Genomic DNA, 14946 nt, shown 5'->3' on the forward strand with positions numbered 1-14946 from the left:
AAAGTGTTTGGTGCAATATGAACTCCATGTTGAGTCGATCACTCATTGTGATGGAAAGAAATGATGACCTTCCCGGAAATACCCATCGCGGTTAAATAACCAAGGACGGGACGGTCAGGGACTTCTGATTGGGGTGCCCCCATCGGCTTAATCTTTGCCCCCAAAAGAGGGAGATGGGAGGTCAGTGCAGATTCAGGAGGAAAAGGGAAAAAGAGCTGGGAAAGGGGAAAGAAAACTGCTGACCCAAACCACAGCTATTTTATTGGAGGGTCAGTTTTTTTCTACCTCCAGGAAGGTTACATTCATAGCAAGAACTTCTGAGGCGACATCAGTATTTGAGTGCATTCTTTTCTAACACTAATTTTAAAACTTCCAAACATGTTTTCTTTTTTCAATAAAAGTTACATTTTTGCTTTTGCCTGCTCTGATCTCTTTTCTGCTAGGACCTTCTGAAAGAATTGAGTATAATTACCACTAGTGATAATTTTTTTTCTTTGTTCATATCCAGTATCTAGACATTTTCAAGTTATTGGCCAGTGTAGCCAACTCTGTGTAGACCCGGTTAACAACATATGGATAATTCTGGAAGCTTGCCATCCTTTCTCTGCCTATGTTTGGCTAAGTTTGGCCTCGAAACCTTCCCCTCTTCTCCTACGCCCACCCCAGGCTTCTCAGCATCTTCCTTGGATAAATAAATATAAATATACTAGACACTATGATTAAGGGACAATATACAGGCATATTTTAGAGCTAGGCTCAGAAAACTGCATCCCACAGGCCAAATATGACCTGTTGGTGGTTACTGTAAATACATTTTATTGGAATACAGCCATATCCATCCATTTATGTAATCTCTATGGCTGTTTTCACAGCACAGCAACAGTTAAATAGTTGCAACAGAGACTTTATAGCTCTCAAAAACTAAAACATTTGCTATCTGGCCCTTTACAGAAAAAGTTTGTTGATCCCTCTTCTAAGTAGCAGCTATTCAGACATAATCACATTTACTAAACAAACAATATTAATCATTTTATTTACTGGGATCTTCTTAAATTTGAAGGCCAGATTGCTGAGTAAAATACCAGGAAATCTGGGGAGAAAACTGAAGGAGATAACTTCCAAACACACTGTGATAATGTGGTTTTATGCTTTCAGGCATCCTTCCAGTTGTTCTTGTTTTCTGTTTAAATAGATTTATCCAGATTGCAGACGAAGAAATTTTGTCATAAATATATATTTTAAACTTTGGGGGACAACCCCAATTTTTAAGCTTTTGTCTAATTGTTCCTGTAAAAACCAATAACATTTAATATAATTTAATTAAAATTTGCCAATTTGTTAGGAAAAATACAGTCTTTTGTTTTAGTCTACTTTTTGATAAATTGTAAAGTTAAACATTTTTTCTATATCCATTGAGTGTCTGTATTTATTCTTTGTGAATTCTTTGCTCACATCCTTTACCATTTACATTTCAAAATAAGGTTTTGCTGAAATTCTTGACTAAATTTGTCAGACCCTTTCTTCGTGTTATTCTAATATGAATATTCCAATCAGAATTTATACTCCTACCAGTTCAGCCTCTCATGTAAGAGGACACACAGCATGCCCTGAGAATATGGGATAGCATCTTCTATGTGTTTTATGATTTTAAAATAGAATAAAGCACTTGTGAGAGCAGAAATCACAAAGATTAAGTCAACGCTGTTAAGAAATAAAATACTTATGTTAAAGATTAGAGTTTTACATCCTGAAATAAAGGCAAATGTTTCTAATTCACTAAAATTATAGCAAATTATATCTCCTCTTAACCAAAGGATTTAAAGCTGCTTACAACACTTCAAATGGTTATAGCTTATTTTTCTTCTTTTTTCTGAAGCTCAAAAATGCTTTAGGGTTCATGTGATTTGTATTTGGCATGATGCAGCATAATTGAATGAGATACTTACTTCCAGATGATTGATGCCAGTGATTGAGAAGAAACTGCTTTCTTTAAATTGTAACTGACTTATAAAGATGAATGGCTTGTTACTGTAAGCAGCTTTATATCTAGTTAATTTTAAAAAGAGAGCAAGACCAAAATATCTAGCAATTCTAGAATATTTGCATGGTGAGTATGTGTGGGGAGAGTCACACACATATACATACACAGACAATACATAGAACACACTGTTCCAAGAGAAAATGCCTATAGATTCTTTAATTTTTTTATTTTTATTTTTATTTTTTGAGATGCTGTCTCGCTCTGTTGCCAGGGTGGAGTGCAGTGGCGCAATCTTGGCTCACTGCAACCTCCGCCTCCCAGGTTCGGTTCGAGTGATTCCCCTGCCTCAGCCTCCTGAGTAGCTGGGACTACAGGCGCTGATATAACAATATTTAGTTTTTATTAACCCAAAATAAAGCTGATGGGCAAAGGCAAAGCTCATTTCCTTTGCTAGGGGAAAAAAAAAACCAGTCAGTAGTTTTCACTTATGGAGGTCAGAGAGAGTTACTCTAGGCTGACACATGTCAGAGAAGAGAAATACAATTCACAAAGCAAAGTATACATGGAAGGTAGTTTCCAATGATGGCCATCATCAATTCTTTCTTCCACTGTGTGAGTGTTCTGCTCTTCCCCTTGACTCTGGGCTGCCCTTAATGATTTGCATGACTAGATGAATGCAGTGGGAGTGAGACTCTGGGAGTCACCAGTCTATATCAGAGTAAGCATAAGATTCCTCCTGGATCCCTTAGAAAGCTGACCCTTGGAATGCTTCCTCTAAGAACAAAGCCACAATTCTGTGAGAAATCTAAAGCCCTGTGCTTGATTCCCAGTGAACAGGCCACATTAGCTGCCAGCCACCATGAGAGAGCCATCATATATGTCCATTCTAGTTGAGTCCTGCATTCCTGCTTAACCTCCATCTGCTTGCAATTTCATGAGAGACTCAAAACAAGAGCCTCCTAGCTGAAAGGAGTCAACCCACAGAATTGTAATACCTAATAATAAATTGTTTATTTATTTGTCTATCTACCTACCTATTTTAGAGACAGCGTGTCCCTGTGTTGCCAAGGCTGGTCTTGAACTCCTGGGGTCAAGTGATCCTCCTGCTTGCTGGGATTAAAGGCATGAGCCATCAAGCCCGGCCTAAGTTGTTATGTTAAACCACTATGTGCTGGGATGGTTTGTAAAGTAGCAAAATGTAACTTATATTGTATAAAGCATTTTTAAATGCATCAAGTTAATGCTTCTATGCAAAATATATCATTACGATAAGTAGGTTTAACATACCTAACACTGAATTTTGTTTGCTCTTCTAATTTCCTCACTAAAAGAAAATGCCTCTCAGACCTAAGGAATATCCTCCTAACTCTCTCAACCAGGGAGGTGGGACATAAATTGGAATATAGAGCCTGGACTTCTTTCTCTCCCGAGGTATGCATTACTAGTCAAGTTAGTAGATACTAAATGACATATAAGCTTACAAGGGCAATCAGTGACATATTTGAGGAACACAAACACTATAAAAGATTAATAAGTTGAACAACCCAGAAGATAAAAGAAGTAACAGAGCAAGAATTTAAAACAACATAATATTTAACCTGAAAAAAGATGATATCTGAAACATGAAACAAAAATTATCCAGTAGAGAAGAACCAATTGAAGACATTGAAATAATGACCTCAATATATGGGATAAGTTACAAAAGAAATAGTCAAAGTTTTACTGAACTAAATGATCAAATCAAAAACATACTCAAAGGAAAGTAAAAAAAGAGAACAATAAAATGTCAAATTGACCATAATAGAGATCCCAGAAATAGAGAAAAGAAATAAACAGGGGGAAATATATGTAAAAAAATTATTGAAAGTTTTTAAAAAGAAAAGAAAGATGCCAGGCAGAAATTAACAGAACTTACAGGAACAATTTTAAAATGACAAGGCATTATAGTGTTGCTAAAGAATAACGGAGAGAGGGAGAGAGAGAGAGAGAGCAAGATTGAGCGAGGCTGGCAATCTTTGATATGCAAACGCAATCCATTAGAAACTGGGTCCACCCAACATGGCGATTCCCATGGCCTTCTTGCCCTTGCCCCACATGTTCCTGGCAACATGGCTGCCCCCACATATCCCCACGTGTGTAGAACACCGTGGCACCCTGCATTTGCATATTAAAAGGCTGGGGGGGAGGGCCAGCTTTTCCCCAGCTACGTGAATGACATGCCTAGTCAAACCAATCCTCTGAGCCCTATGGAAATCAGACACTGCCTCCTCCAGCCTCTATATATACACACCTGGCTGGTTTCTGTCCCACTTGGGGTTCCCTCTCTCTGCTTTGGAGCTCCCCCTCCCTCTGTCTCTGTATGGGGGAGCTTCTATCTTCTACCTTCTCCCATCTTCCTTGCCTATTAAACTCTCTGCTCCTTAAAACAAAACAAACAAAAAAAAATTGAGAGTAGGTGCACAATATCTACAAAGAACAAGTGTCAGACTATTATCAGAGTTCTCTATGGCATTACTCAAAGAAAAAAAAACACAATAAAATTAAATTACCAGAACAGCAAAGAAGGAATATTTTATGTTAGAGTTTATGTTCATGCGATTTATCATTTAAATGCAAGGTGAAAATAAGGATATGTTCTTCTGTAAATGCCTTATAGGGTTTTCCACACCAAGGCCTCCATTGGAAATACTCTGGGAGTAAGTTTTCCAGAAAGTAGAGAAAACAATTCTAGCAGATGCTATAAAATATATGGGAAGTAAGAATAGAAAATTATTTAGTAAAGTTTACCATTTTCTCAAAAAAGCAATCAACAACCAAAAATATGTTCAAAACGATATGGAATAAAATTCTAGATCAGCACTGTTCAATAGAAATTTCAGAGATAACAGAAATGTTCTATATCTGTGCTACATGCAACTATTGAATACTTGAAAAGTAAACTAAATATTTTACTATATTTAATTTTAATTCATCTAAGTTTAAAATTAAATAGCCACATGTGGTTAGTGACTAGTATGTTAGTACTGTTCTAGATTAGCTCAACATGGTGAGATTGAGATCAACAGAGAATATCATGGATATGAGAGGGAGCTGAGCACACACAAATGAACTTGTCTGATTTAGAAAAAAAAAGATTCTGATACTATTGAGAAATTAATAAGAAAAAATAAAATGTAAGTTTGAATCTTAATAGGGATAACCAGACAAAGACTAAAAACAGAATGTATAACTTTCAGAACCACAGATGTAACTTCAAAAACTTATACAGAAGATGAAAAGGCAGATGAAGAAACAAGGAAGTAAGGTAAATGGAACAATTTACATAGAGTGTCAGAAATTAGTCTCAAAATACCAAATCATCAGGAATACAATGAATCATTATGAAGTTTCAATCCCCCATTTAAAGAGAGAAACTTTCAGACTATATTTTAAAAATCCACTAATATGTTGTCTATAAGAGGCATATTTAAAACAACAGTATTCAGAAATTTGAAAATAAACTAAGAATGCTATATAGATAAATCCAAATCTAAAGAAATCTGGCATAGCCATTTTCGTATCAGGCAATGAAGAATTTAAAGTTAAAATTATGAATGTAAAAGAGGGTTAGTATATTAGAAGAAAAAACAGTAGATTGAGAAGTTACAATAATCATCATGAATATGTGTGTGTGTGTGTATGTGTGTGTATCTGCACAAGGTCGTAAAATACAAAAAGCAACAAATGGATGTACCTCAGTAATAATGACCCTATGTAGAACCCAGATCTTGGTTCCTAGTGCCATTCTCCAGTCAAAGAAAGCAGAGCTCTTGTAGAATGACTTATTCTAGAGCCCAGGTAGGAAATATGTAAGATGAGTCTGAAGCATTTTGTAGTGCCAGACAGAAAGAAGCGCAAAATAAATAAATAAATAAAATTTAAAATTTTTTTAAAAAAATCCCCAAACAAAGAAACAAAAAACTCTACCCCCGTTGATGTGGATGTCTCAAGGGGCACAGGTGCCAACAATATCCCAGTGATTCAAACAACAAAATAAATAAAGCAATATTGGATAATTACCCAAAGTATAAAAGAAATATCTATGAGTCCATATTGATAATGATTGAATACATTAATAAATGGCAGAGAAGAAACAAATATTTTATACAGAACAATTCCAAATAATGTATGTAATTATTCTGCCTTAAAAGAGGGAGAGTATAACTTCCCATTCCTTAAGTGTGGATGGCATCTAGTGATTTTCTTCCAAAGAGTGTATTCTGGAAAGGGGAGAAATGAGCAGCTCGACAGTGGAGAAACCTGACAAACACTGCATCAACCAGGTTATCAAGGTCAGTGTCAAGTCATGAATTATGTTGACATGATGTGATGAAAATGCCACTTTATGCTCTGATATTTTCTCTAAAACACTGATAACCCCTGAATATTGAGGCAAATTCCAAAAGGGGACATCCTACAATATACCTGGTCAGTTACTCCTCAAAACTGTCAAGGTCATCAAAAACAAGGCAAGCCCAAGAAACCACCACAGTCTAGAGGGACCTAAGGAAGCATGATGAATAAATGTAGTGTAGTATCTTGGGTAGAATCTGGAACAGAGGAAAGACAACAGGCAAAAACTAAGGAACTCTGAATAAACTGTTCAGTTAATAATAATGTCTCAATATTGATCCATTCATTGTAACAAATCTACCATCTAATGTGAGATGTTGCATTAATTGATGGGGGAGCCCCACCTGCAGGAGTACATGGGCAGTCTCTGTACTGTCTTAATTTTTCTGTAAACCAACAGATGCTCTGAAATGTACAAGGTCTATTAGAGAAAGCGACAAATGACAGGATTACCGGGAGAAAAAATTAAGTAAAAAATGTACTCCACATATTTTAACGCATTCAAGGAATTGATCACACGGACAAAAATTCCTCACCATAAGCCTGTGCCATAAAAAGAGAATGTGCATTCTTTGTGAGCACACACTGAATATTCATAGCAATGTGGGCCACAAAAGATCAATCTCTAAATGCTGACATAACTCAGGACTCCCATTCAGACCACCTTCCCGTTCGGTATATACTCTTCTCCTATGTGAATTCGTCCAGTTCTTGTCTTTAAATACCAGCTTCATGCTGTTACTGTGCAGCCTGGGTCTCAGCCCTGAATTCCAGATTTGGATATCTACGGTCAATTTAACATCTGCACTTATTTTTCTAATAGCTTGGAGTTGGCACTTCCCAAACCAAAGATCTACTTTTCCCCCACAAGCCTGTAAGTGGCAACACCATCCTTTCGGTAGCCCAGGTAACAAAAACAAAATAAAACATCCAAACAAACAAAAACCTTTTTACCTTATGCATGCCATGTCTTACCCACCAGGAGTGTTATTGGTCCTGACTTCAAGTTATCAGTGATGTAATGGGCTTTGACAACCATAGTAGATTTTTTTTAACATGCCTCATCTACAGGACAAAATTATTTTCAGTAATAATCATGAAGTAAAGAAGATAATAATAATGGCTAGAAAAGAAACGTAGACAATGATTTTTTTCTTTCACCAAACTTCATATATAAAATTGTGTCAGAAAAAAATAAATATTACATGTAAAAAAAAGAATAAAATAAAAATTACAATACAAGCAAGGAAAAAAGTATGAATAAACACTACTTGATTTATTACTTGTTATAAAAGAGACAAACAACTTGTACCTATATATTTGTTTTTGGATTAATGAAGTGTTTGAGCCTTCAGACTCAGAACTTCTGAGTTCTGCAAACTTGTCAATGACTTCAACAAAATTAACTTTCTTTACATATTCATGTTTAATAGAATAGAGCCAGATTTGTCAATCTTCCTTCATAGTTGATTGAAGAATACTTTTTATAAATGTTATTTACATGAATGAATAAATGCACAATTAGTCATAAAAGTCTTAAAGATAAAAGTCCCATTTTACAATAAAACCCAGAAATTTTAAACACAAATGAAAACTCCAAATGGTCACAGCAAATTACAGAATTAAGATAATTCAAATTCTGTCTCTTCACATTTATAATCACTGTGCTATTGTGTATTCTTAATCTCCTATCTAACTGCAGAGATAGGTGGTACCACCAAGTCGTGCCCCTGAAGTGTGCACCAGCAATTCCTCAACACCACGTAAACATTTTCTCAAAACTTGTGCAGGCAACTGAGTCCATTTGTGTTGGACGACAACCGTGCAACTGGAGCTTCTTGGAAATAACTTCCATCTGGCATACAGTGTTTATTAAAGGATAAGAAATTTAAAATATGCTAAATTGTAGCTCACATGTATATTATTAAAACTCAGCAGAAACTACAGCACTTGTGTAGAACTAAAACTTAGACTAAAGAGCTTTTCTTCTCAGAGGAGTATTTTATCACTGACATTATTTACAATTGCAAGTTCATGGTAACAATAAAAAGCAAACTGACTTTTAGTTAGTTTTAATGTCACTTTTGAATTCTCTACGGATAATTCTCTACTTATTGTCTGCGCCTGGAGTAGATGGCATTCACTGCACCCCTTTTGGGATGCTAGTACAAATTATATCTAAATCTAACTTTCTTCATCCCTATTGCTTCCAACTTTAGGAATCCATGATTTTTCTTTAATTATTGCAGTAGGCTCCTAACTTTATAACTGAACTTGCTTCTTAAGTGTTTTCTTTTTTCCTCATCTATTTGTAACACAGCAGCTAGAGTGATCTTTTAAATGGCAGATGAATCAGTCACTCCTCTATTCAAAACCTTCAAATGACATCTCATTTGTCTCAAGGTATATGTTTGCCATGAACATATGCCTGAGTCCATGCTTAAGTGAGCTGCTTCTAAACCACAACTGAATGGCTCTACTTCTGTTGGGTGTGCTTCTACCTGCTCCATTGTCCCATCTGATTTCACTTGTAAACCACAAGCTCCAAGTAAAATTATTAAGAATTTCAAGATGATAGGAGAGCATTCAACCAAGCATGTGGCTCTTCTCTACAACAGAGGTTGCACATTCCAGGTCTTACGGTTTGGAGAAAACAGACTCATCATGCACTCTTGTGAAAGAATCAACTAATGCACACACCCTGGAGAGAATTGGCATTATTTAGACAAGTGCATAAATTCAACAAGCTGATAGTTCCCCTCTGTGTCTATAACCCAGAACACATCTTTTCCAGACCCAGAAAGGAACACGTATGAGGATGTTTACTAAGACATTGCATGTAGTTAATAGAGAACAGGAAGAAAGTGAGGCATCCACTACCAAGGAATGAATGAATGAATGAATGAATGAATGAATGAATGAACGATGGTGGAGGCATACTACGGAGCAATTAGAAGCCATGAACTAATTTGGTGGTTCTTACTCTGGCTGCTCACCTGAGGAAATTTAAAAACTCCTGGAAGGGCACAGTGGCTCATGCCTGCAATCCCAGCACTTTGGGAGGCCAAGGTGGGAGGATTGCTTGAATCCAGGAGTTTGAGACCAGCCCGGGCAACATAGCAAAACCCTATCTTTACAAAAAAAAAAATTAAAAATTAGCAAGGCATGGTGGCATGTGCCTGTATTCCTAGCTACTCAGAAGGCTGAAACAGGAGGATCACTTTAGCCCAGGAGTTTGAGGCTTCAGTGAGCTATGATGGTGCCACTGCCCTCCAGCTTGGGTGACGGAATGAGACCCTGTCTCAAATAAATAGATGAATAGATAAAATAAGAATTATTAATGCCTAAGCCCCTGTGCCTGGATTAATTGATCTAGAATGGGGATTGGTGTTATTTAAAAGTTCTCGAAGTGATTTCACAGTTGAAAACCATTGAACAAAATGGACATACAGAAATTTGCATATATATTTTAAAATTAAAATGTATCTTATATATTTTATATTTTTTCAAAATGCAACAAATAGGGCATATGTAAATTAAGGCCATACCAATATATAAAATATATTTTCCTAGGAAACTTATATCTCCAAAAACATATATTAAATAGGGTAGAGTGGTTGTCATGAAAGAATGGAGAATTATAGGAGATGCTCATTATCAAAAAAGAGAGAAAATAAGAAAGTGGATTTATCCAAATTGTTGATGATGGAGTTTAATTCTCTGAACCTAGGTGTAAAATAAGTAATAGTTACTAAGAACTGCCTGTATGCTAACCACTCTTTTTTCTAAGTGATTTAATTGTATTATTTCATTTAATCATCACACTGATTCTGTGAGGTAGGTACTATTATTATCTCCACTTTGCAGATAGAGGAAATCAAATGCCAGATGGGTTAAATGGTTCATGCAATATCACAGGGCCAAATAGCAGAGCTCTGCTTGACCCCAGACAGAGGGCGCTCAAGCTCTGCACTTAACTGCTGTGATCTACTGCTTCTAACAAAGATAGTGGGGAAAAAAGAGGAAAGGGATACAGAAAGAGACAGACATTGACATAGAGAGCGCAGGGAAGAAAGAGAGAAACTGAGAGATGGTCTGAGCCTGAGGATCCATGCAATCGCGATTTTAAGTAATTATTGATCCTAACTTATAACTGAATTGGCACTAGTCATAAATGATCATTAAAAACAGAGCACTTCTCAATACTTCTCTTTTATTTACTATCAAGATGAGATAATCTGGAAAAACCTAGATTAAAAAGTTAACAGCCCAAAGGTGAATGTTTAAGATATATATTCAAGACACAATAAAAACTATGAGAAAATGACAATAATATGGGTGTACAATTATGGCTTAGAAGACTAAAAAATCTCCTAAGAATCTACAAAGGATAAAGGAAGCATGAAGTAGGCTCCTCTGAGAAGAATCCCACAGAGATGATGTGTGTTTCTCAGTGCATCATAAAAGGCAATACATGATGTCAGTTTGTTTTATGATCGGTAATGGGAACTAGATCACTAGGATTAAAGTGGTATTGGCTAGATTTCTGCACTGTAAAGTTTCTATTTTTCCCTTCGTCCTTAGTAACAATTCTACAGGAGACACTTCAAAGTTACAAAAATATGTTTCTGCTCAAATGTTCACCCACTTATTTTAGTATTCATTGGTTGATCTTGTCTGTAACAATTCTTATTACTGTAGTGTTTAATATTTTCTAATTTCCTTATTCCTTCTAAATGTATTAATCAGAATTCTTCTGTAGGGAAGAACTGTTCCATTTACTTACTTATTTATATCAGCAAGTTCTCATGGATATTTATTTTATTCTATGAGTTATATTCTAATACTATCATTATTTATTTTGTTGTTCAAATTGTTCCAGCTTCAGCCTTTGGGTGATTTTCCTGGCTGTCCTCAGTGTCCTTTCTACCTGTCTTATCCTTTTCTGAATACTTTCTTACTTCCTCGCACCACATGATCTGATGTGCCCTGGGTCGTTTTATTTAGAAGCCAATATCTCAGAGCTGGGTATGTTCATTACTACTGAGTTGTAGCTGTTTCTAGGTTCTCTCAGTGGGCAACCCTGGAAACTATATGTATGTATGTATGTATGTATGTATGTATGTATGTATGTATACTAATCTTTGCAGACAAACACCTCTATATTTCAGTATTCATCTGCATATAAAATAATAAGAAATAAGAGTTTATATGGATACCACACGCTCAAATCTAACATCAGGGGGTTCATCTAGATTTTTCCTCTTCTTCATTTTAACTTCTGTCTCAAATAGTGAGAAACCTACAGTGTATTCATTTATTTGTTCAACTCTGATCCATTCATAAAGTAATTTCAGAATTCTTAACCCATACCACATCAGAAAAAAAAATGTCTACCTAGAGTACTGTAATTGTGTACAGTATACTTCTTTTTGTATTTAACCTTACAACATCTAGTCAGGCGTATTTCTCTTAGCAAAATATATTGAAGATTTATCCAGGTTGTTATATGTATTGATAATTCATTACTTTTTACTGCTGGGGAAGGTTTCATTGTATGAATGTACCATTCTGCTTATCTATTCACCAGTTGAAGGACATCTGGATTGTTTCAACTTTCTGGTAGCTATGAATAAAACTTCTGTAAATATTCACATATAGGTTTTTATGTGAATGCACATTTTCATTTCTTTTGAAGAAATAACTAGGAGTGGGTTTGCTAGTCCATGTGGTAAGTATATGTTTAATTTTTTAAGAAATTGCCAAACTATTTCCCAAAGAGGCTGTACCATCTTGCATTCTCACTAGCCACATATCAGAGTTCCAATTGCTTTGCATACTCACTGGCGTTTAGCATTATTTTTTTAAGTCTAGCTATTTTAGCATTTACATATATATATAAAATATATAAAATTGTGATTTTAATTTGTATTTCCCTAATAATGATATTAATCATCTTTTCATGTGCTGATATGCCAGCTGTTTATCCTCTTTGTTAAAGTCTGTTCTAATTTGTTCTCTGTTTTTTAAATGGATTGTTTGGTTTCTTATTAATGAATTGTGAGAGTTTTAAAAACTGTATTCTAGTTGCAAGTTCTTTGTCAGATATGTGATTTGGTTTGCAAATGTTTTCTCCTGATCCATGCTTGTCTTTTCATTCTCTTAACTTGGCTTTGCTAACCAAAAAGTTTAAAATTTTAAAAAGTATAATGTTAATTGATCTTTAAAATTTTTTGACTCTTGGTTTTGGTGTTGTTTCTAAGAAACTTTTTGCCTAGCTCAATGTCATAATCATTATCTTCTATGTTTTCTTTGAGAAGATTTTATAATTTCACATTTTGCATTTAAGTGTATGATCCACTTTGATTTAATATTTGGTAAGGCAGAAGCTATGGATACAGATTAACTTATCTCATATGGATATCCAATTGTTCTAGTAACAGTTGTTGAAAAGATTATTTTCTCTCCATTGAATTTTCTTTGCACCTTTATAAAAAAATAAGTATATTTGTGTGAATCTACTTCTGGGATCTCTATTCTGTTATATTGATCTTGTATCTATCTCTGTCAATACAAAACTATGCTGATGACTGCAGATTTATAGTAAATGTTGAAATCAGATAGTATGAATCCTCCAAATTTGTTTTGTTTTTCAGGATTGCTTTTGCTATTCTGCTTTCTTTGCCATGTTTCCACACAAATTTTAGAATTGATGTTTCAATGTATAAAAAAAAACCCTATGGGTTTAAATGGGGATTGTGCTGAATTTGTAAAGTAGTTTGGATAGAACTGACATTTTAACAATATTATAAATGTAATCTAATAAATTATGTAGGATAAGTAGGCTAAAAACAACAAAACACTGATAAAATAAATTAAAGAAGACTAAAATACATGGAGAGATATATCATGTATGTGGATTAAATATATTATTTCTCTTTCTTGCCTTATTGCACTGGCTAGGTCGTTCAGTAAGATGTTGAATGGAAGTGGTGAAAGAGGATACTCTTGTCTTTTTACTGATTTTAGGGAGAAAGCATTTAGTTTTTCACTCAATGATGTTAGCTGCAGGTTTTGTATAGATGTCCTTCATTAGGTTAATGAATTTTTCTTCTGTCCTAAGTTTGCTGAAAGCTTTTTATCCTGAATTAATGTTGAATTTTATCAAATGCCGTTTATCTATTGAGATAATCATTTGCATTTTCTTCTTTAGTCTGTTAATACGATAAATTGCATTAATTGATTTTTACATGTAGAGGCAGCTTTGCATTTCTGGGATAAACACATCTATTTATCATATATTATCCCTTATATATACATATTGTTGGTTTTGATTAGCTAACATTTTGTTGAGAATATTTATATCTTTGTTCATGAGAAATAGGGTTTTCTCTTTTTGTAATTACTTTGTCTAGTTTTAGTATTAGGATAATTCTGATCTCCTAAGATAAGGTTGAAAGTGGTCCCTGTTCTGCTATTTTTGGTATCATGTTTTTCTTAAAGTTTTGGTAGAACTTGCCTGTGAAATCATCTGGGCCAAGTTTTCTTTGTTGGAAGGTTACAAACTATGAGTTAATTGTTTCAATAGATATGGGCTGTTCTAGTGATCTACTTATTTCTTGAGCACGTATTGGCATTTTGTGTCTTTTAAGGAATTGGCTAATTTCATCTAAGTTTTTGAATTTGAGTATTTAAGAGTTATGGTGTCATCCTTTTATTAACTATGTGGGATCTGTATATCCCTCCCATCTTTCACTTCTAATATTAGTAATTTCTTTCTTCTCTCTCTGTTTCTTAGTCAGGGAACAGGTTTTTGAACTTTATTGATTTTTAAAAAGAATCATCTTTTAGTTTCACTGATTTTCTCTATTTTTTATCTTCAATTTCATGATTTCTGCTCTTCTGTTTTTAAATTTCTTTCCTTTTGCTTGCGTCTAGTTTAATTTGATCTTCCTTTTCTAGTCCCTTAAAGAGAGGGATTAGATTTGTCATTTGTGACTGACTTACTTTTTGAACTTTTTTTTTTTTTTTTTTTTTTTTTTTTTTTGAGACGGAGTCTCGCTCTGTCGCCCAGGCTGGAGTGCAGTGGCGGGATCTCGGCTCACTGCAAGCTCCGCCTCCCGGGTTCACGCCATTCTCCTGCCTCAGCCTCCCAAGTAGCTGGGACTACAGGCGCCCGCCACTACGCCCGGCTAATTTTTTGTATTTTCAGTAGAGACGGGGTTTCACCGTTTTAGCCGGGATGGTCTCGATCTCCTGACCTCGTGATCCGCCCGCCTCGGCCTCCCAAAGTGCTGGGATTACAGGCGTGAGCCACCGTGCCCGGCCTTACTTTTTGAACTTTTACTTTTTCATTTATGGCAGATGATTCTAGCTTTCCATTTTGGGGAGCGTAATAAAGCTCCATTTATTTATTTATTTATTTATTTATTTATTTATTTATTTATGAGACAGGATGTCACTCTGTCACCCAGGTTGGAGTACAGTGGTGCAGTCCTAGCTCACTGCAATCTCAAACCCCTGGGCTCAAGCAATCCTCCAGCCTCAGCCTACCAGAAACTGGGGCTACAAGT

At 35.3% G+C, this 14946-nt stretch overlaps 1 long non-coding RNA gene across 1 annotated transcript in view; it reads left to right on the forward strand.

The window, feature by feature from the left end:
• The first annotated feature begins 5125 nt into the window (after nucleotides 1–5125).
• The window catches only part of LOC107986070 (uncharacterized), a 28200-nt gene continuing 18379 nt past the window's right edge, over nucleotides 5126–14946 (forward strand). Inside the window, exon 1 of the long non-coding RNA XR_001740623.1 lies at nucleotides 5126–5285. This is a non-coding gene — a long non-coding RNA (uncharacterized LOC107986070). The remainder of the gene's footprint in view (nucleotides 5286–14946) is intronic.

This window comes from Homo sapiens, chromosome 3 (assembly GCF_000001405.40).
Source record: "Homo sapiens chromosome 3, GRCh38.p14 Primary Assembly".
NCBI classification, from domain to species: Eukaryota; Metazoa; Chordata; class Mammalia; order Primates; family Hominidae; genus Homo; species Homo sapiens.